This window comes from Homo sapiens, chromosome 18 (genome assembly GCF_000001405.40).
Source record: "Homo sapiens chromosome 18, GRCh38.p14 Primary Assembly".
Taxonomy (NCBI): domain Eukaryota; kingdom Metazoa; phylum Chordata; class Mammalia; order Primates; family Hominidae; genus Homo; species Homo sapiens.
Genome location: NC_000018.10, coordinates 64075531 through 64098185, shown reverse-complemented (window position 1 = coordinate 64098185; position 22655 = coordinate 64075531). Strand labels below are relative to the sequence as shown.

Sequence of the window (22655 nt, the reverse complement as noted above, 5' to 3'; positions counted from 1 at the left end):
GACATAGAAAAAGGCTTCAGATTAGATGGATAGTTTCAACTTTTATATTTCTAGTATTATCTTTAATGGACAATGTTGGTCAGAGAACTTTGCCTCTGTACCTTTATTCAATAATACGTAATAAATCTTTAATTTTGTTGTTGGTTAGTTGTTGCCACCTTGCTCTCCACTCTCCTGTCCCTTATCTCAGTAGCCATCTCTGCGACCTGCAAAGATGAAAAGGGAAAGCAGGAGATGGAAACTGGTCAGCAGCCTTCTGGTTTATCAGCCACACTTACAAAGGTCAAATGTGCAAAGCGTCAGAAGACAGTGGTTAGAGTGAGATTCTACATGCTCTCAATGAAGAATAAAGGTAAGTTCAATATTTCATGAAACAAAAAGTTTTTTAAGTTATTATAAAGGAATGTTTCCATGGCTACTTTTTTATTAGTATTCAATATGAGGACTTGAAATAATATTACTTCTGATAATAGAGTGCTTAAAATTTTACTTTTTTTGCAATCTAAAAGCTCCCTCTTCTGACCACGCGGAGTAGTTCTTTATAGGCTCTTTTTAAGAATGTTCTTTATATTTTTTCTTTATTTTATATATATTCTACTTTAAAAACTTTCATAAGTCTTAATAATAAGAACAAGCAAATCTGAAATTATATAAAAGACACCTTGTGCTCAAACCTTGGACTGGAAACATAGCAATTACAAGTTTTACATTATTGTTTCCCTCCAAAGTTACAGTAAGTTGTATTTCTAAGACAATAAGAATCCATTGTCTTGAGTAGTAATTATAAGCTGCTTTTTGTGGCAAATATTGTGTTACTGAATCACCAGTGGTGGGGCAGACTCTTTGGTTTTTACAAAATAACATAATTGTATATAATATAAATCAAATACAGAAAATCTTGAAAATATACAAATAGATTTAATTCACAGCAATTAATTCAGCTATTAGCATCTTTAAAAATACATCTTTCATGGCTGCATAATATTCTACGATAAACACATATTACAACTTTCTTAAATAATCACATATGGATAGTTATATCCAGTTATAATGATGGAAATATCATTACACTAACATAACTTTATAAAGTCCCTTCCAGAAGCATTATGCAAACTTACAATTCTGTAGACTGTACATGAGTTCTCACCATGTCCTCCAGAATTCTTAGCATTTTAAATATTTACTAAATTTATTAATTTTTAAAATGCTATTTAAAAATTAAAGTTTTATTATAGTTATATAAAAATATTATTCCTCTAGTTATTTTGGCCATTATTATTATTATTGTACTTCTCTGTAAACTAACTTTGTGTTCATTAAACATTTTTCTAAGAAAGCATTCAAGATTTACTTGGGAATTTCAGTAGTTCCTCATATGTTCATTAAATATTTTATTATTGTGTTCTTTAACTTACTACGTTTTGTAATACAAAGAAGATTTTAATATGTCATATAGTCAAATCCACATTCCTGAATGGAAATATTTATTCCCATATTATATTCATTAATTTTTGGTATGATTGTTTATAGTTGGTGGTGTAATTCATCTAGAATTAACTTTGTTGTATACTGTAAAGATACAAATAGCATTACATTTTCCTGATAGTTAACGCTCGACATTTAATAAATAATTCATATTTATTCAATGGATTTTAATACCAACAGGATTATACACTATAAACTTCTGTATATGTACCTATTTCTGGTTTTACTATTTTCATTTATTGATTTCTCTATCTAGTCAGCTATGTTAAGCATTTTAACAGTCTAGTTAAGTCACTTTTTATTATCCCTGTTTTTCAAAATATTTTTGCTGTTTCGGACATTGATAATTTTACATTTTAGAACCATTTTGCCAAGTTTTTAAAAACTTCTAAGATTTTTAAGATTTTTGTTGGAATTGCATTAAATTTGGGAAAAACTAATATGCATACAATCCTGAGTCTTTGTATCTAAGAGTAAAGACTAAATCTTCATTTCTTCATATCACTTTATCAAGTTTTATGTTATTATGCATAAAGATTCTTATGTATATAGGCACTTGCTTCTTAAGTCTATTTGAGTCATCTTATATTATCTATGAACTCTATCCTTAATAAACTCTTTTAAGTAGCATATAGGAAAGTTTTATTCATTTTTTAATATTTTTTTTTATCAGGACCATTACAGAACTCTGTGAGAATTCTTCTAGCATTTTTCCCATTTTATTGTTGAAATTCCAAATGTTCATGGGGAAAATTGAAATTTTTGTTTCTTTTCATAACATTTCCCATGTTTCATAAATTTTTCCAGATACTCATTGATCTCTTTTATATGAAGCTTGTGTATTTCTTCAGCTCATAAAATTCCTTATTTCATATCTTCAAATAGTTCCATTTGTTTTAGTCTTTTATTCAGAAACATTGATTATGTATATATCGAAACTCCAAATGTATTCTATCTGCTATTTCTCTCTGATCTGTTTCTTTTCTCCACCCACTTTCTTTGTGTTCTGTTAGGATCCTCAGGTGAGTTTTCTAGCCAGTAAGTAAAAATTCTGCAGTGTTGGTTCTGTTCTTTAATGATGAAATGCAGTTGTAAATTCCAAAATTGCATTTTTAATTTTCTTAAATTATTTCACTTCTTTTAGATTCCTTTTGGTGTGTTTTTAGTTTTCAGATAGCTCCTGTTTCACCTTAGTCTCATAGGATTCCATGTCATCTTTCACTTCTTCTATCAAAAAAAAAATCTCCTCTTGTCTTATATTTTAGTGAGATCATAAAGCAGGTATTGCCCAAATATAATTTATCTTCTGCAATAAATCTCTTCAAAACTAGCTCCTTTCCTGGATGTTGAGTACTATGTCCCTCTCCTTATTTTGAGCTGCAAAATCTTTTCACAGGCCTCCTGTTGGCTGTTTTCTATTTACACATCCTTGAGAGAGGAGAGGTCTCTCCTAGCCTCATGCTTGCCTGTAAATAGAGTAGGAGGATTGTCCCTGTGTCTCCTCACTATCCATCTGCTTGCTGTTAGAAATCGCCTCTCAAATTTTAAGCTCAAAAGGGGTATTTTTTGTCATCCTTGCTGTTTTAATTTAAAATTGCTTTGCCCTTTTAGTAAAGCCAGCAGCCTAAAAGAAATGGGGAAGAATCATAACCATGATCAGTCAAGGCTAATTCTGTTCAGTCTCTTCTCTGTATGGCTCAGAGGTCAGTTTTCTGTATCCAAATTTGTTTGTCCTGGTCTCTATGACAGGTACACAGATTGAGGCTTCTTGGGAGTCTTGCTTGCCCAGAAAGAAATTCTTTTATTTTATTTTATTATTTATTTATTTATTTATTTATTTATTTTTTGAGATGAAGTCTTGCTCTGTCCCTTAGGCTGGAGTACAGTGCAGCTCACTGCAAGCTCCACCTCCTGGATTCAAGCGATTCTCCTGCCTCAGCCTCCCAAGTAGCTGGGATTACAGGCACCTGCCAACACACCTGGTTTATTTTTGTATTTTTAGTAGAGATGGGGTTTTGGCATGTTGCCCAGGGTGGTCTTAAACTCCTGACTTCAGGTGATCTGCCCCCCTCAGCCTCCCAAAGTGCTGGGATTACAGGTGTGAGCTTGGCCCAGGAAGAAATTCTGCTTTACCAAGGGAAGGCTCACTGCTTAGGGGGATGCCTGGCTCACCACCAGCTCTCTGCCTGGTTCAGCCATGCTGGAAGCTCCAGACATCCTGGAGGATCTTCCCTGGGCTGATCCTTACTCTCCAGCAGCAGAAGTGCTTCTGAGGGTGTTGTGCTCTCTGCCCACAGTCGACCCTCACCCCTCCCTTCACCACTCCAAATAAGGGAATATCCATGGGGTGCTGCCAGGACTTGCTTTCCTTAATTTCCATGTTTGTATCATCTTTTCAGAAGGGGACCTTGTGAAACAGTCTTCAGTGTTTTCCTTCAATTGTCCTCCAATTGCTCTCTTCCAGCAGAAATTATTTGCACTTTCTCTCAGATGATTGACTCTTTTCCCTAGTTTTTAGTAATAACGTTCTTTTAGTTTGCTATCATTTTGGCCATTTCACAGGAGATCTAGGAGGAGACAAATGAAATGCCTGGACTCCATCAAGTTTCATCTTACCAAAATGCCATTCATTCAACTCTTCTCCCACAGACCCCAGGTATAGCAAGGGATTTGCATTCCCCGATCCAGAATCCCTTCAGCGGAAAACTATTTCCCTTTTTTTCGCAACTGATGGTACTTTTCTATTTCTCATATTTTGTGTGCACTTCTTTCCAATTAAACTGTAAGTTCTTTGAGTAAAGGTGGGGTGACCAATGCCTCCTGGTTTTCCTAGAACCTCTCATGTTTTGAAACTGAAAATCTCCTGTACCAGAAATCTTATAAACAGGGATGGGTGGCTATGCTGCTCAAGGTCAACATATGCTCTATCTTTAAGCCCCTTCCCAGCTCTCATCATTTAAAACTCTCTTGCCTATAGCAGAAGTTGATGACACATATATTAAATGAGTCACTTTTCCCCATGGCTACAACCCCTGTGACTACAAGAACATATTGACAGGGTAGGATTGGCTGGGTACAGTGGCTCATGCCTGTGATCCCAGCACTTTGGGAGGCCAAGGTAGGTGGATCATTTGAGGTCAGGAATTCGAGACCAACCTGGCCAACATGGTGAAACACCATCTCTATAAAAACACAAAAATTAGCCGGGCTTGGTGGTACACACCTGTAATGCCAGCTACTGGGGAGGCTGAGGCAGGAGAATTGCTTGAACCCAGGAGGTAGAGCTTGCAGTGAGCCAAGATCGCACCACTGTACTCCAGCCTGGTGACAGAGCGAGACTCCATCTCAAAAAAATAAATAAAATAAAAATAAAAATAGGTTAGGATTAGCCTACAACTGCTAACCAGAGCAGCTAAGTGAACTAACTGGCTGTCAGGTATATTCATGTGGGGAAGTTGTGAACTTTTTGTAATAAAGTAGCCTGGTTGATTATCTCTAGATACTTATACATTTTTAAAAAGTCCTCATCGCTGGAGTGGTTTCAGGCATAATTGCTAAGAGTAAAGTATGGGTGGAATGATTCCTTTAAGGCTAATATTTTTATAGACTCGCTATGACACCATTCAGTGGACATGCAAAATATATTTTCCGAAAGCATTGGTGCCTCGGGCTGTCCTCCACAGCCATTTAAAACATTATAATGAATTGCTTACTGGATGTGTGATAATACACTAAATGTGCTTTGAGATATGTTCTCTGTCCTAAAGAAGATTTTGTTCAGAAGGAGTGGTTAAGAGCTGTGACTGTTTACTGCTTCCCCACAGCCAACTCAAAATCACCCCAAGTACATCCTTAATGAAATGTATTCTGAGCAGCTTCTCATTTCTTAAATATTTTAAATGACTTTCCCTCTTTAAATAGGGAGAACAAGTCTTGCTCTCGGCATAATCACTGTACACAAGCCACAGAGAGTTCACGTGAGAGGAGAAAATTCACTGGGCCCTTGGGGAAGATCACCCCAGTATCATTCACACCTCACCTTTGTTGGAGGCGTCAAAGACCAGGGGAAAGGAAAACATCCCATCATCCTTAATTTGAAGAATCAGATTAGTCAGCAAATGTTTTTTGTTTGTTTGTTTGAGACAGAGTCTCATTCTGTCACTCAGACTAGAGTGCAGTGGTGTGATCTCGGCTCAGTGCAACCTCTGCCTCCCGGGTTCAAGCGATTCTCCGGCCTCAGCCTCCTGAGTAGCTGGGACTACAGGCACCTGCCACCACACCAGGCTAATTTTTTGTATTTTTAGTAGAGACGGGGTTTCACCATGTTGGCCAGGATGGTCTCGATCTTCTGACCTTGTGATCTGTGCACCTCAGCCTCCCAGAGTGCTGGGATTACAGGCGTGAGCCGCCATGCCTGGCCTAGTCAGCAAATGTTTTACAAACCATAACAATATGCGGGAGAAAAAGTAATGAAAGCAGCCATGCAGTTGCTGTTGAAAAGAACATGAAACTAGAAAAGGCACCCAGTAAGCACCAAGGAGAAATGAGGAGAAACAAAACCTGTGAGAAAAGCCAAAGGAGGTGACATAGGTGAAATTAACCTAAGGGAAATGTTGGTTTTTCAAACATATTTAAGTTTCCTAAGGGCAGAAATTGTGCCTTATGAACTAATCCATTTTTATTCTCATACCTCAGTGCACCCAGTGCATAGGAGTGGTTTTGTGTGGAAATAAGAGATCAAGTTAAATAAATACCACTATCAGGGCAGATAGTCTCTACTTAAATAATTTAAAAAGCCCTTTCAATATAGCACAGATTATGCAAGCTTTTTTTCTGGAAAACTGTGTAGGTGTGTGTTTACATCCTTAACAGGACTTGGAAATTAATCACATATTGATTATGAGTGACTAATTAATCACTGAACCAAACTTTCCACAACTATGTCATCTGCTTTCAGATATGTCTAAATATAGCAACAGGGAGAGTGTGGTGAAATGAAGAAGCAGATTTTATGTTAGCACCTGAGCTTTGCAGACCAATGGTCTGATTCAAATTCCAGGTCTGTCACTTTCCAGGTGAGTGGCCTTGAACATGACTTGACCTCTCTAAACCTCAGTTTCCTGATTTGCAAAATGAGGATAATAATAACTCCCTGGCCCAAGGATAGCTTTATGGACATGGGACCTGTGCCATCACACAGAAGGGCCCACACTTGATCTGAAGTTCTGCTGTACTCCTCCTGAAATTTTAAATAATGATTATCTTTGAACTTGCGTTTTGCACATGAAGTCCAACGAAACAATGGAGCATCATCCATGTGAGCAGAGAGAGACCCTTGCTGCCCCATTTGCATACTGTGTGGGCAATGCTCCATGAGCACAGAGCTCAGGTGAACACATGATGTTTGGGAGTTTAGAGAGATCCAAAGGAAAGAAAAGGAAAGCATATATTATGTCTATCAGTAAGCAGGGGGCAGACAGCCCAGAGAGGTCGCACCTTCTATTTGAACCAGAACTTGCTTTCAATCCAGAAAGAGGCAATGATGTTCTAAGAAACATGAAAAACCAGGGAACACTAGCATGTTATTTGCTACTCATTTATTTCCCTGTATTAGTCACCCACTTAGTTGACAATGACCACATAGTAGAAAAGGGAAAGACAGGGCAGCACATACCTCCTTTTCTTGTCAGTCCTGCTTCATTCATAAGTCAATGGCAGAAAGTGTTGGTAAATGCTAATCAAGAGGTGAATTAAAGATAGTTGAGTTAGTTTTGTGCAGCACTTCCACTGGTCTGGTAGGAAAGAAATACATACACACGTGTAAGCTATGAAACATAAATGGTGTCATGTCAGTGATTCCACACACAAGCTAAATGCTCTAATATTTGCATTTAAAACTGGCATTGTACAATATAAAGATGAATGATACAATTCAGGCAGATAATTTACATTTTTATTTTTTACTTATAACATCGAAAAGCAAATAAAAAATACCATGACACATAAAGAGAGACTGCAGAGGAAAGGAAGAAGCTTCATATTTCAGTACAATTATCACATCACTTTCTGAATACTTGAGCAAGGGGCCCCACATTTTCATTCTGCACCAAGTCCTGCAAGTGATCGCTAGTGGCACATACTGATCAATTGAAAAAAGCAGGTATTTTTCTCACATAAACCCTTTCGGGTAACATTTCCTCAATTTGCCTGATCATAAAAATCACCATTAGCACTATTGATAGTAGCACAGATTACAGAAACTCTTTTCTGGAGGACTGATATTGTAGGTGTGTGTCTGCATGCTTAACAGGAACACCAGGAGAATTTTATTATCAAGTAAGTTCAGAAAATGCCTCTTTAGAAGAATGAGGTTGTGAGAGATTATATCACAACTTTCTATTATTTGATTCTTAGAATTTTATTCTGTGCTTGGCAACTATTCTAATTTGCCTCTAGTGTCTATTGTAGCCATGATATTTTCATATTCTACTAAAAAGCTCACTTAATGCTTTCTGTTCCCAAACACTTAGTGATATTGGCTATAAACTTTTCCACCTAGGTTTGGTTTAAAGATAGCTCCAAAATTGGCCTCTCCCTGCCTATTGAAACATATGCCTCTATTCTCCCAAATGCATGTTTCCATCCATGTCTTTGAGCCCACTATTTGCCCCTTAAGTATTTTCCCCTCTGCCTATTGTGTGCCTGTCTGGAAACAGGCACTGATATGGTTTGGCTGTGTCCCCACCCAAATCTCATCTTGAATTACCACAGGTTGTAAGAGGGACCTGGTGGGAGGTAATTGAAACATGAGGGCAGGTCTTTCCCATGCTGTTCTTTTAATAGTGAATAAGTCTCATGAGATCTGATGGTTTTATAAGGTGGAGTTTCCCTGCACAAGCTCTCTCTTTTTCCTTGCTGCCATCCATATAAGACGCGACTTGCTCCTCCTTGCCTTCCACCGTAATTGTGAGGCCTCCCCAGCCACATGGAACTGTAAGTCCACTAAACCTCTCTTTCTTTTGTAAATCATCCAGTCTTGGGTATGTCTTTATCAGCAATGTGAAAATGGACTAATACAGGCACAATCCAGGACAACTCATTTCCTGCCTTTTCCCCACTCCTTAATTCTGCAAATGACATTTCTCAGGCTACTTTGACAAGTGGCTTTCCCTTGGGTTTAGCCAACAGAGAGCCTAGAGAGCAGTGGAAGAAAGAAAAAACCAGCATGTGTGTTTGCACTGTCTCTGTATTAGTCCATTTTCACACTGCTATATACTACCTGAGACTGGATAGTTTATAAAGGAAAGAGGCTTAATTGACTCACAGTTCAGCATGGCTGGGGAGGCCTCAGGAAACTTACGATCATGGCAGAAGGCAAAGTAGAAGCAAGCACCTTCTTCACAAGGTGGCAGCAGACAGAGAGGAGTGAGCATGGGAAACTGCCCTTTGTAAAACCATCAGATCTAATGAGACTTACCCACTATCATGAGAACAGCATGGGGAAAACCGCCCCCATGATCCAATCACCTCCCACCGGGTCCCTCTCTCTACCTCTGGGGATTAAAATTCAGATTACGATTCAAGATGAGATTTGAGTGGGGACACAGAATCAAACCATATCAGTCTCTATCTCTGGAATTACCTGTATCTTCATTTCTCCTGCTTCTTCCTGACAGTCTATCCTTCTGTGATCATAGCTCACCACAGGTAGCTCTGTCTCCTTGGCTCTGGTAACCCCATATTCCCCTTGTGCCCCAGCCCTAAGGTTGGTCCCGTTTTCTGTTGATGCTGACTTTTGGTCACCTTCCTGTCCCTTTTTTTATCTGTTTAGCTTTTTCAAGACTTCTGCAGCTAATCCTCCCTATTAAATATCACCTCTCATTATAGCTGGCACAGGCTCTGTTCTCCTGATGAGGTCTTCCACCATTGCAATCTTCAAAATGCAAGTTTTCCAAAAATTATGTAACATGTAGTTTCTGAGTATCTTAGGAGGGCATGACACTGAAGATAGAAAATGAGTAAGACATAGTTCAGTTGTCCTCAAGGAACTTACAGTCTCATGGGAGGCAGACAAATCCATGTATGATTACAATATGGTATTTTAGACAAACACATATGCTTTGGAAGCAAACCACATGGACATGAGTCCTGGCTCTACCACTTACTGACTCTGTGAACATGGACAAGGCAGGCACCCCTCAACAAGGATTTTGTGCATTGCACTAAAGAGCTAGATTGAGAGGTGCTCTTTGTACATGTGGGAAATATTTAGGAAGACTGCCCAAGAAAGAGCACTGAGATGCATGAAGAATTCCTGATCAGTTTCAGGGCCATTCTTTAGAACTGTACTTCCATATTTCAGGATGGTGGGAGAAGAAATAAGGAGATGGAAACAGAAGAATTATTTGGCCAGCAAGGTCATATGAAATTATTGGTCAACTGGTGAGGGAAAAGAAAGAGTTGAGAAAAATCACAAATTTCTGGTTATTTAGCAAGTCTTCCATGACTGTTCCAGAGCTGCCTGATCTTGCTTCTCTCTGACTTTCTTTTTTTTTTTTCCTGATACGGAGTCTCGCTCTGTCGCCCAGGCTGGAGTGCAGTGGTGCGATCTCGGCTCACGGCAAGCTCCGCCTCCCGGCAAGCTCCGCCTCCCGGGTTTACACCATTCTCTCACCTCAGCCTCCCAGGTAGCTGGGACTACAGGCGCCCGCCACCACGCCTGGCTAATATTTGTTTTTTTTTGTCTGTTTGTTTTGTTTTTTTTTGTAGTTTTGGGAGAGATGGGGTTTTACTGTGTTAGCCAGGATGGTCTTGATCTCCTGACCTTGTGATCCATCCGCCTCGGCCTCCCAAAGTGCTGGGATTACAGGCGTGAGCCAGCACGCCTGGCTGCTTCTCTCTGAATTTCTATTGAGTAATGGTTAGCACCAGACAATAACTCATTTCCTTATCTCTAATTCTTTTATGTATTCATCAGTGACCTCCCTCCACCCAGATCCAGAGATAGGTCCTTAAAGACAAAAGCAATCGTATATTTTTCTATACCCCAGAATGTTCCCTATATATTTTATATATAAAGGTATTTAACAGATTTCTTTGAGGAATCTAGGTTTTTAAAATATATTTCAAAAATGTTATATCACTATAAGCAAGATTAAGTAACAATGTCAAGAATTCAATAAGGTAACTCTAAATTTTTAGCTTTCCAAAATATCAACTTACTAAATATTAATTATCAAATGGAATAAAAATGCAATCTTACTTTCAAGTTTGAGCTTCTATGGTTTCAGTTTAATTTTACTAACCATCTTTAGTAATAAAGAGCTGCTAATGGCTTGATGATTCCAATTCAGAGAACCAATTTGATTGGATTTTCTGATTAAGTGGACTAATGTTAACTATGCAATATGATGCATAATAATCTATCAAACCCCATTTTTTAGCTCTTTTTTAATGGAGGGCTAACTGCATGATTAGAAAATGAAAAATACAGTTTTTCAGGATTCATTTACTGTAAGTTGACTGAAATTGAGTGGAATAAAACCCAAGTGTATTTGCCTTACGGATGCTATTTCCATGTGTATAATAATTATTTCCTAATATTGATTTGAGAAACTGTAATTTGCTTTCACATTTAATCAATGGAGAACAATATTTGGATCAGAATTCTTTTTGAGTAATATCATAATTGCCACATTATAGACCCTCTCTTTCCCTTCTCTTGCTAGCAATATTAGGTTTCTGTTTCCTACTAAACTGTTTAGCCTGTTTGGAATTCATGTGACATTTTACATGGAAAGAAGTGTGAAATGCCACTTGCCATACTGCTACCTTATAAATTATTCATCCCTGCTGTTTATCAGGCAGCTTCTGCTTATAGATAAGAAGTCACCTCTCGTTTGCTGCACACATCACATGGGCCTAAACAATCAAAAATGGTGTGTAGCTTCCTAACAGAGCAAGGGGAAAATCCAAGCAAGAATAGTTTGGAATGAGACTCTTCCATCCTGAAACAAGCCCCACCAATCTTCTTTGACATGCAATGATAATATTTAGCTTGCTAAAGTGTATAGTTGAAAGAAAGATGCACACTCTCAATAGAGGACAGACAACAGAAGGTAAACTTTCCCAATCCTGATGGGTAGCTTTAGTGAATCAAAGGTCAAATGAGCAGCTATTGGTACCCTTTCAAGCAACCTTAGAAATTTCCAAAGCTACAACTATCAAGAAATTCTCTATTTGTTTTTTCAATTTTTGGAAAATATGACAGTGTTCCTATCCACATTATCAAATTATCCATATTGTTTTTCCTGTTACTTTGTAGTGTCCCCCACTGTGGTCAGATTTTGATATGACATATATTTTGATCTAGAATATCCATTTATCTTACCAACTTAACATAAATCTGTTGGCAAAAATGCAATAGCATCTTTATGAACTTCAAAGCTTAATGGATTACAATCAAGCTTATGAAAGGAATAGTTATATTTATTATGACTTTAAGTGATTATTAGTAATAAAAATATCACTAAACTAACTAGAACATTTTTGGGCCAGCTCAGTCTTCCCCATAGACAAACTTTCTGCACTTTAGTCAATCCTAACTTTGCGTGCATTATAGGATTCCAGTTTATAAATCTCATTCCACATTTTACCAATCAACAAAAAGCATATATTAAGAACATATTCTGTGTGTAACAGTATGCTAAATGAAATGCTATGGACAACTGCAAAGAAATGTAAGATATACAGCAGAGTGCCTTCTTAACCCCATCAGTTTAAGAAAGGCAATTCCCATTTATAGATTAAAACAGCTTCCTCATTAGCTAATGGCAGAGTCAGCACCAAAAGTCAAATTTCCAGTCTTTAAAGCTAGAGTTGTCCCCATGTCTTCTTTTATGAGCCTGCATGCTGCCTGGGCAGATAAAAATGACACATAAAACTGGGCGTGGTGGCTCACGCCTGTAATCCCAGCACTTTGGGAGGCAGAGGCGGGTGGATCACTTGAGGTTGGGAGTTCGAAACCAGCCTGGCCAACATAGCGAAACCCCATCTCTACTAAAAATTCAAAAATTAGCTGGGCATAGTTGTGCACCTGTAGTCCCAGCTACTTGGGAGGCTGGGGCAGGAGAATCTCTTGAACCCGGGAGGCAGAGGTTGCCGTGAGCCGAGATTGTGCCACTGCACTCCGGCCTGGGCAACAGAGCGAGACTCAGTCTCAAAAAAAAAAAAAAGTGACAAATACATAGAGATTAGAGTAACACAACATACAGTTTATATGGAAATAGTATGCTGGAGATCCAAAGGGAAGTGGGACATTAACAAATCCATGGAAACATTTTAGCATGAAGTTCAAAGCAGACTTCCTATGGAAAATAGGTCTTGATCTGTGCCTTGAAGAATGGAGAAGAATGAGTAGGATTCAAGCAGGTACATAAGAATAGGAATAGGAATAGGAATAGGAAATGCAATCTGTATGTGTTTGGCTTAATGAATAAGCAATGTAATGAAAGGGATGAAAGGGGCCTTCTTGATTGGGGAAGCTTAAGGAGTCAGTTTAACCAAGAGTCAGTGAAGTTGTTGTCAGTGGGCACAATATTAGAAGGCATTATGTGATCACAGTCAACTCTCCTCGAATGCACATCCACAATTTTTTCGTAGAGCACTAGTCACTTATATTCCACACTATGTGTGGTTGATGACATCATTTGGCGCTGATTCCTCACACCTCCCTGTTCTCATACTCTTTTCCAAACAACTGCTCAGCCACATACCTGCATTGATGGTCGTGATGCTAGGAGAGATGAAGCTTTGAAGAGTAGTGCTTGGGGATTATTCTCTGGCACATCTACAAGCATCATGAGAAGGCTGGCTTCTATCAGATGAAAGATATATGGGGCTGAGTTTCATCAGCCAAGTTTAGCCTAGACCATCTAAGCCTCAGCTGCCTAAGTGAGCACAGCCAAAATGAGCAGAGCCCTCCAGGCAAGCCCAGTTTGGATGCACGAACCCTGCAGATGCATGAGAAATGCATGTTTACTGTAGTATGCCACTGACATTTTGTGGTTGTTTATTGCAGAGCAAAGATTTATTGATAAACCATGAAAGATACTCAAATGATACTATTCACTGACTTTTATAATATGGAGTAAAATATCTAAAAATATGAAGGCTAAAGAAAAGAGGTCAGCAACATTGTTTTTTAACTTTTTTAACTTTTATTTCAAGTTCAGCGGTACATGTGCGGTATTGTTACCAGGGTAACATTTGCGGTATTGTTACCAGGGTAACATTTGTTACCTAGGTAAACTTGTGTCACGGGGGTTTGTTGTACAAACTATTTTGTCACCCACGTATGAGGCCTACATTTTATGTACTCACTGCATACAGCTTAATGAATTGGATTCTTATGGGGTTAGAAAGGATAAAAAACATCACCCCTGTTCTCAGGAAGCTTAAAACTGAGTTGATACTATATGCCATATACATGAGAAAAGAGACAAGAAAATTCAGTCAGCTATTTAAATGTAGAAATTGCCTTTCTTGGATCACTGCATATGAGACACTGCCAGGCAGATTAAGAAAAAAGGGAACTAGCTTCAAGGTGTGAGAACACAAGACGAGGAGAGTGTGTTTTCTGTGGGTGCTTCCACTAACAGCCTGCATGCAAACCATGGAGCTTCAGGGACTCTGGCCACCCCAGATTCCCATTTCTTTAGAGGTAAGAGAAGCCCAGCATGGGGATCCTCCCTACAGGAACTCTCCCTGGGGAACAAAGTGCATGTCTAAGAAAATGGGCTTTTCTTCTTAGGTAATGACATTCGAGTCAGATTCAAATTGCTAAATACAAATCCTAACAAATCAAGGTTACCATCAAGCAGGTTTATAATTGTCACTTTTAAAAAGCTGCTCTAAATAGATTCCCTTTGAGCATTATAATGAGAACCAGGAATTTAGGAAGAGCTCTAAGAGGTGCTAAAAATTAGGATCCACTCATGCTCTACTAGAAGAGAAATGACAGTTAACTTGGAGATAAGGGCATTAAAAGGGGCCCGTGCTCCTTTTCTCTGAGTTCCCATGTGCACGTCAGCACCACTTGGTTCTTTACCAAGGGCAAGACTTGCCAGACAGGGCTAGTACATAAAGTTTCTGGTGTGATTATTAGTGCTGTCACATACTTTTTCTCTTGGCTGTTTGTCTCAAAGTTAATAGCACGTACAGTGTATTGAAGACTATAGAGTTTAAATGCGTATTGCCTAGGTAAAGACCACACGGTATGAGAACTTAGGAAGAAACACTATTCCCGGAAATCAGAAGTGTCAGGCACACTAATAGAATTATAGTCAGTGGGAACAATGGGGTATCGCGGTGAGGTTTTTGAAGAGCCAGCCTTAAGTGGACCAGGAAATCCATTAGGGGAAAGCAAGGGGAAGCTGCAAAGACAGTGGTGGGAGAGCTCCTCCATAGCTCCTGTCTGGGGTGAGGAATGTCTGCATTTTTACCACTTCTTTGGCTAAACATTCTAAAGGTCATTTTTAAAATATTTATTAAAGGGGAGGGGAGTAAAAAATACAAAAAGAAAATTAAAGTAGGATGATTAAAGGAAGGTGAATGGCTAAAGAGACTAAATATAAGATTAAGGACAAGGTAAGGGACAATTTAATGGAGTAAAATTTTTAATACAATTTAAAACCCAATAATATTTAAAAGTTAAACTTTAAGAATCAAATCAAGCATGAATTAGAAAGTTCTAAATGTTTTATCTGGAGTTAAAATGGAATTTTTTTCAAATATTTTAGAAACAAGAATTTTAAAAGAAGAAAGATTAAAATGAAAGAAAAGAGAAGCAAGAAGTCTATAGAATGAACAGGTGAAGTTAACTGAAATGGAAACAGAAAATAAAGTAAAATAATCAGCATTTAGAAAGAGAACAGAAAGTTCTAAAACTGTGTTGAGAAACTAAAAAAACAGAGCATTAAAGAAACAAGATAATATAGTTAGTGTGCAGGTGAAAGAGGGAACAAGACTGGAAAGAGGACTAGGCTGAGGATAGATACAGAATTCACACTGTCAGCAAGCCAGTGATGTGAATTCCTGGTTAAGCTTTGTGCAATCCATTTCTGTCTCTGCCACTGTAGCTGCCCAAAGGATTCTCCTTGCCCACTGCCCAGATAGAGCCTATTTATCTAGACACGGGAATTGCAACAGAGAAAGAATGCATTTCACGCAGGGCCAGCTAAATGAGAAACTGGAGTTTTGTTACTCAAATCAGTCTCCCCCCAAAAATGTGGAGACTGAGGTTTTTTAAGGATAATTTGGCAGGAGTGGGGAGTGCTGATTGGTTGGGCCATGGATGAAATCACTGGGGCTTTTGGTGGGTTCTCTCTGTTGTCTTCTGTCCCTGTTCTGTTGTCTTCTGTTCCTGATTGGGCCAGATTACCAGTCTAGGTGGTGCCATCTGGTGCTTCAGAATGGCAGGATCTGAAAAAAAAGTCTCGAGCACCAATCTTAGGTTTTACAATAGTGATGTTATCCCTAGGAGCAATTGGAGAAATTTTGTCTTGAGACCTTTGGCTGTATGACTCCTAAACCATAATTTCTAATCTTGTGGCCAATTTGTTAGTCTTACAAAGGCAATCTGGTCCCCAGGCAAAAAGGGGTTTTGTTTCAGGAAAGGGCTTTTATCACATTTGTTTCAAAGGACCAAATGTGATTTGGTTTAAAGGACCAAGATTAAAAGAGGCCCCTTTTCCCTCCACCTTCATCACAGCCATGCTGTTTTTTCATTTGTTTGTTTTTGGGTTTTTTCCCCAACTTGCCCAGAGAACAGGCTTGCCAAACCATGTGGTCATGTCCACCTGGAGGATGCAGCTTTCTCCACTGTGTACAAGGGCGTTACGTGGGCTAGCTGTCGCCCCAGATGTTTTTTTAAATTGTTCACATCATCTCACATAATATTTTCACAGCTTGGGCTTTTCAAAATTGAACTTCTTAAGTACTTAACTACTCAAATTCTTTTAACTACTTAACTACTCAAATTCTTTTAACCCAATATTTATATGAATACATGAAATAATCAAGAAATGAAATCAAACAAGTATGTTAAACAAAAGCCATTTAAGTTTAACAATAAATATTTATTTTTATGTGCAGCACATAAATCCAGGGAATTACTAATGTTGGTATCTTTTGAGAACATTTTTTCCTTTGTGACTTTGGTTTATGCAAATAGCTACATCTTATGAGCTCATACCCTGAAGTTACAACTTGATGCCTGAGGATTGATTCTTGTATTCCCTTTAATCTTCCTCCAGTCTGACCTGGTACTTATATAGTTTAATCCTTGCATTAATATTTTAATATAGATTTGATTTAGATTGAAATGAGCAAGAAGATTCACTGGAATCTATCTAAAGAGATTACTTGTGTGATTTCATTTTGCCACATTAGTAGTCTGTGATAGATATACTCTATTTGCAGAGTACATCTACCTTCAAATCAAGTGTCTTGCCAAAAGGCAATGTGACAGCTAAGCTTGAAGTTTATAAAAAAATAGCTATTTGGTTCAGGAAAAAATAAAACAACTCACAACTTTTCACTAAAACCAAGCCTGCTCTTCTTTTCCAGATGGATTATATTGGATAAATGTGTTTATCCCTATTTTCAATACTTAAACACACAGACACACACAGATAATTTGTATCTTGAGACCAATTTCTTTTATCTGTACAATAAAAAAATTGGACTAGATACTGTTGTTTTTAAAAAATTAAAATAGTTTTCTTTTTCTTTTATTAATAATTCATGGTTATGACAGAAAAGAAAAAGATTTAAAATAAGTGAAGGTGATTCTAGACTTACCAATAAAAAATATTGTTAATATCTTCATATACAGTCTTACAGACATGTTTTGCATATGTGTAAATATGCAATTATATATTTTAAATAATTTTGCACTACATATTGTTTGATAACATCTTTCACTTATCATTGTATTGTTTCTGTCAGAGATTATCTTTCAATTTTATACACCATAAATTACAAACCTAGCTCCAATTAATGTACTTAAAATTATTTTCTAGTTTCTGCTTTATGACTAATTCTATGATAAAATCCTGGTATAGATAAATGAACATTTATTCAATTATTTTTAGAATCACTGCCTGCAAGTAGAATTTGTTTTTTAAAGTATTCTAAAATTTAAATTCTAAATTTAGGTATGTATGAATTTGGAATCATTTGATCAAGTTTAAACTCTTTCTCTACTGCAATAATGTGGATTACTTTTGTTTGTACAGCATGCAGGAAGAACCTTTCAAAAGGTTACAACCAGAGACCTGAAGGAAGCAAGGAAGAAAGCCACATGGTTGTCAAAGAGAAGAGGAAAGGAGATCACTAAGCTGGATGACGTTTTCTGTTTCTTTGAAAACAGAGAAGATGACAAGTTAGGGAGAGATCAGAGGTCATACTGTGAAGCACCTTTGGATAAACGGCAGGGACTTTGGATTTTCTTTTTGAATATAAGCATAATCCATTGAAAGGTCTCATGCAGGGAAGTGGCAAAACACTTTTAAAATTTTTCATCTTTTCTTTCTGAAGCAGAGTTCACTCTCCATTTATTTGTCTTCTTTGATATCTCTCAATAGAATGTTGCAGTTTTAGTATTCTCCTATTAAACATTTGTTTAACTTTCTTGTTCTTCTAAATAATAATTTATTCTCCTTATTTTCATCATTAGTGTCCCTGAAATGCCAGAGTTTCAGACTAGGTCTACTACTCACCACACAAAAAGCCAATCACTGAGACACAAGTATTGACAAGTAAGAAGGCTTTAATCAGGTGCTGCAGCCTAGTTGATGAGAGATTAGTCTCAAATCCACCTCCCTGATGGACTAAAATCAGGGGATTATGTAGTAGAGAAGAAATGTAACTACATGTGAGGAAATAGGAATCAGGGAGGGATAAGCAAGAGGAGTTGGTCAGAAAGACACGGGTGGTCAGTTAGGCCACCATGATGGGTGAGGGGTCTGGCATCCCATTGTCTAGATGCAGTGATCTGGTGAGTTTCAGCTCCTTGATACTATCTGGGAAGCCTGAGGGTTGGTTTCCTAAGAGAGAAATGTCGCTTTCTTAAGTTTCATGACTAGGAAGGTCAATTTCTATGTTTATTCAAAAAAACCCATAAACATCAGTTCTATGGGACAACTGCACCAGTTTCATTAGCATTTTAGCAAAAAACATCTTATTGGTTCCTTCAGTAGTTAACTCTCAGGTTCTATGAACACAGTGCTGTACCAATGATTCATAAGTAAGTCTTTGCAGATCCATTCAAGAACATAAACTTCTAGGGAGCTAGGGAGAATGGTTTGGGATTACCTTTATGTCTGGTCTGCTCTAGTCACCTCAGAAGAGACAGGGGGACAGATTCAAGCACATTAAAATCAGATGAGCTGTACCTTCCTCTTAATTTTGCTATGAATCTAAAACTGCTCTAAAATAAATAGTCTTCTAAAAAATCAGATGAGTGCTTTCTAGGAAAACTGTGACCTCATCCGACAAACTTACAGTTCTCTGGCTCTGGTGGACTTTGGTTCCCAGGCCCTTAGATCTTTCCTAAATTAAATGCCTTAGATCAGCAGCTCCCAAAAAATATGTGGAGGCTCAGATCCTAAGGGTCTGGATTCTAACGTGCAACAAAATTTGGGAATAACTATTCAAGACTAACCTTTGATCTCCTACTTTTTTTTTGGAAGATCCAGGATTCCCTATCACTGTACTAGCAGTAATCAGGCCAGGCCTTGGAAAGCAAGTAATCTGATTGGAGTTGCTCAACATGAAATTGCCATGAAGTCAAGTTTCCGATTCAGAGAAAAACAGATGAAGAGAAATTCAATATCAAATTTTATTTAGGCCTTCATTTATGTGAAAAAAAATATACGTATTTGTGGTCTAACAATTTTCTTTGTATCCTTACAGTTTTCTAGGAAATGCTCTGGGTAAAATTTAGAAAATGGTACAGATAGACCCAGAGCATATTGGAAAGACTATACCATGAGGTGATGCTTGGAAGGATAAGACCTTCTCAAGATGTAGAGAATAGCTTGCTTTAGTGAAACGAGAATGAGTTAGTATGTGAGAAGGCCTAGGTTCAAATCTCTAGCCACTTAACTTGATAAACCCTTAGTTTACTCAGCTGTAAAATGGAGAAATAGCAAATATGTCTTTTATAAGATTTTTGTGAAAATCAAATATGAAAATGCATGTTAAAGTAATTAATCAAAGGCTAAAAACATACAAACTACCAATCCACTTAAATTTCTAGAAAGTATACATCATTGGTTCATGTGTTAGGAGAGAGCACTCCTTCCCCATATACATCCCTGGGATGAAGTTTGCCAGACACTCAGTCCTTGGGTGAAAGAAACTTTAGGTTGAAATTGTTCCAAGTAATTTATTACCATAAAGCAAACATCTGCAAAGACTGAAATCTGTTTGAAATGTAGGCTAGATTTATTTTTTCACATACTACTATTGTCATATAAAAATAACATAAAATAGTAAAAATTAAAATTAAAAACTCATTGGGAAATACCCAATTGCCCTTTTCATACTTGAAGTATAGGACTCCTAGGATGTTCACAATCTACAATATGAAGCTACTAGTCTTGTAACTCTTGCAAAAGACCACAGAGAAGGTACAGAGACTAGATGAAATAGGAAACCCAGTATTTTTATTGTATTTAACTTGTAGTTATCATCAAGCTGATCACATACTATGTGTAACATGCTATGTTAGGCACAGCAAGGAATACAGGGAAGCATTAACCATCAGAGAGCTTACAATGAGGGTGGGAAAACAAAACACACACGTGAATATTTAACTAAAAATATGACAGATGAAACAGCAGCAATATCAGAAGATATGAAAATAAAAGCAACAATTAATATGATTCAATATGTAACAACTACAGAAAAATACCACTCTGGTTTCTTAAAAGGATGACATTTAAGTGTCATTTATTAAAGGATAATTTTCAAGAATCAGGTAAAATCATGAGTCTCACATAGATATAAAATGAATACGTGTTAAAGATTGTTTTAAACTCATTAATGAGGAAAACAGTAAGCTGTTACAATCACTTTTAAAAATAAGTTAAAGGAGCAGAAAGTTATGTGTAGTAAAGGAATGTTTAAATGCATTTACAAATAGAGAGAGACCTGCTTTTTTCCCTGGAGGGAGGGAATTCAATTGAATCACCAAACAAAATTATTTTGCATGCCTATAGACAAGAATTATCGCATCTTGCTATCAGTTATCTACAACTTACACAGTTGTAAAATGGATCAAAGGCAATGCCAAGAGTCCCCATAGAATCAGAATCAGATAACCCAGAAGGGTATGCTCAAAGCACTTAGTTTTCCATTGAAGCACACAATTTTCCCTGCAAGGTTCAATCTAAATCTAAACTATCATTTCCCCACAAGTAGTTTCCAAAAGTCACATTTGTTATGAAGATATTACTAATGTGAGAAGATTTATCAACACTTATTATACATTTTCACCATGCAAAGTATTTTAAATGACTTTAATTAAAAATTAAAAAGTAAAGCAATATATTTGTATCACAATATGATACCGTATAATATGAACTATATTAATTGAAATAACATATTACCATAACTGCCCAGTGGGTTCACCTTGACTGCTGCCTAGACAGAGCTGATTTATCAAGACAGGGGAATTGCAATAGAGAAAGTGTAATTCACACAGAGCCAGTTGTGTGGGAGACTGAAGTTTTATTATTACTCAAATCAGTCTCCCGAAGCATTTGGGCATCAGAGGATTTAAGGATAATTTGGTGGGTGAGGGAAAGCCAGTGAGTTGAGAGTGCTGGGTGGTTGAGTGAGAGATGAAATCACAGGGAATTGAAGTTGTCCTCTTGTGCTGAGTCAGTTCTTGAGTGGGGGCCACAAGATCAGATGAGCCAGTTTATGATCTGGGTGGTGCCAGCTGATCCATCAACAGCAGGGTCTCCAAAATATCTCAAGCATTGATCTTAGGAAAAGTTTAGGGAGCATCAGAATCTTGTAGCCTCCAGCTGCAATGACTCCTAAGTGGTAGTTTCTAATCTTGTGGCTAATTTGTTAGTCCTACAAAGGCAGTCTAGTCCCCAGGCAAGTAGGAGGTTTGTTTTGGGAAAGGGTTGTTATCGTTTGTGTTTTAAACTATAAACTAAGTTCCTCCCAAAGTTAGTTCAGCCTACACCCAGGAATAAACAGGACAATTTGGAGGTTAGAAGCAAGATGAAGTTGGTTAGGTCAGCTCTTTTTCAATGTCTCAGTTACAATTTTGCAATGGCGGCTTCAATATGAATTGAATATAAAACACTAACTTGTTAAGTAAAAAATTTGAGACACCTGTAAAATGATGTTCTCACACCCATCAATGGCTCCCCCACCAAAAAAATCAAAATGTTGGTTTCAGCAAAGTGTCAGTCAGTAAAATGTCATGATCAATTAAATTACTTGGGTTATATTATTTTGAAATTAACACAAGAGAAAATACATTCTTTCAGAAAATTCCCTTTTGGCTGCTTTAAGGAGCTTCTCTTTAAATTTTGTTTTCTGGCAAAATATACTACACCATTGATTTTATGCTCATTCCTTAAAATAAGTATGACTTCATCCAATGTTGGGGACCTTATAGTCATTCAAATCATTTTTTCCTCCCAAAATAACCATGGTGTGACATTCCTGAAGTAGAGATTGTATGTCCTACTGAGTCATATTTCTAGCTAGTCACCTTGTCTCCTGCTTCCCTTTTTGTCATTTAATTGCAAGACTAGGATCTACTAAATATAGTGTTTGGCTGTTTTTACCTCCTCTAGGGGTAATAGATGATTTATAGGATGACATTGATATGGGTTGGCCGATTCACAGGTACCCAGCATTCAGATTAATGCATTGGACTTTTCTCTGGGCTGTGAGTCCTAAAATTTGGTAGGATTGATTGCTTTAAGTGCAACTCTTGTGAGTTTCAGAATACTTTTTCCTCTTAATTTCCCCTAGATTTGAAACCATGTTCTAAGAAGGCATTGAATTCCAAATTTAATTATAAACTCAAGAACTGCAGAAGTGCTTCTGTATTAGAAGGTTAAGTAATAAAATAG

At 37.4% G+C, this 22655-nt stretch overlaps 1 long non-coding RNA gene across 6 annotated transcripts in view; it reads left to right on the top strand.

Annotated features, from left to right (window-relative positions):
• Positions 1-18191, top strand: part of LINC00305 (long intergenic non-protein coding RNA 305) — a 69094-nt gene extending 50903 nt beyond the window's left edge. For 5 of the 6 annotated variants that reach the window (NR_190191.1, NR_190190.1, NR_190189.1 and 2 more), the window contains 2 exons: positions 191-352; positions 17784-18191. This is a non-coding gene — a long non-coding RNA (long intergenic non-protein coding RNA 305). The remainder of the gene's footprint in view (positions 1-190; positions 353-17783) is intronic. The other variant, NR_027245.2, reaches the window with a different exon arrangement.
• Positions 18192-22655: the final 4464 nt, after the last annotated feature.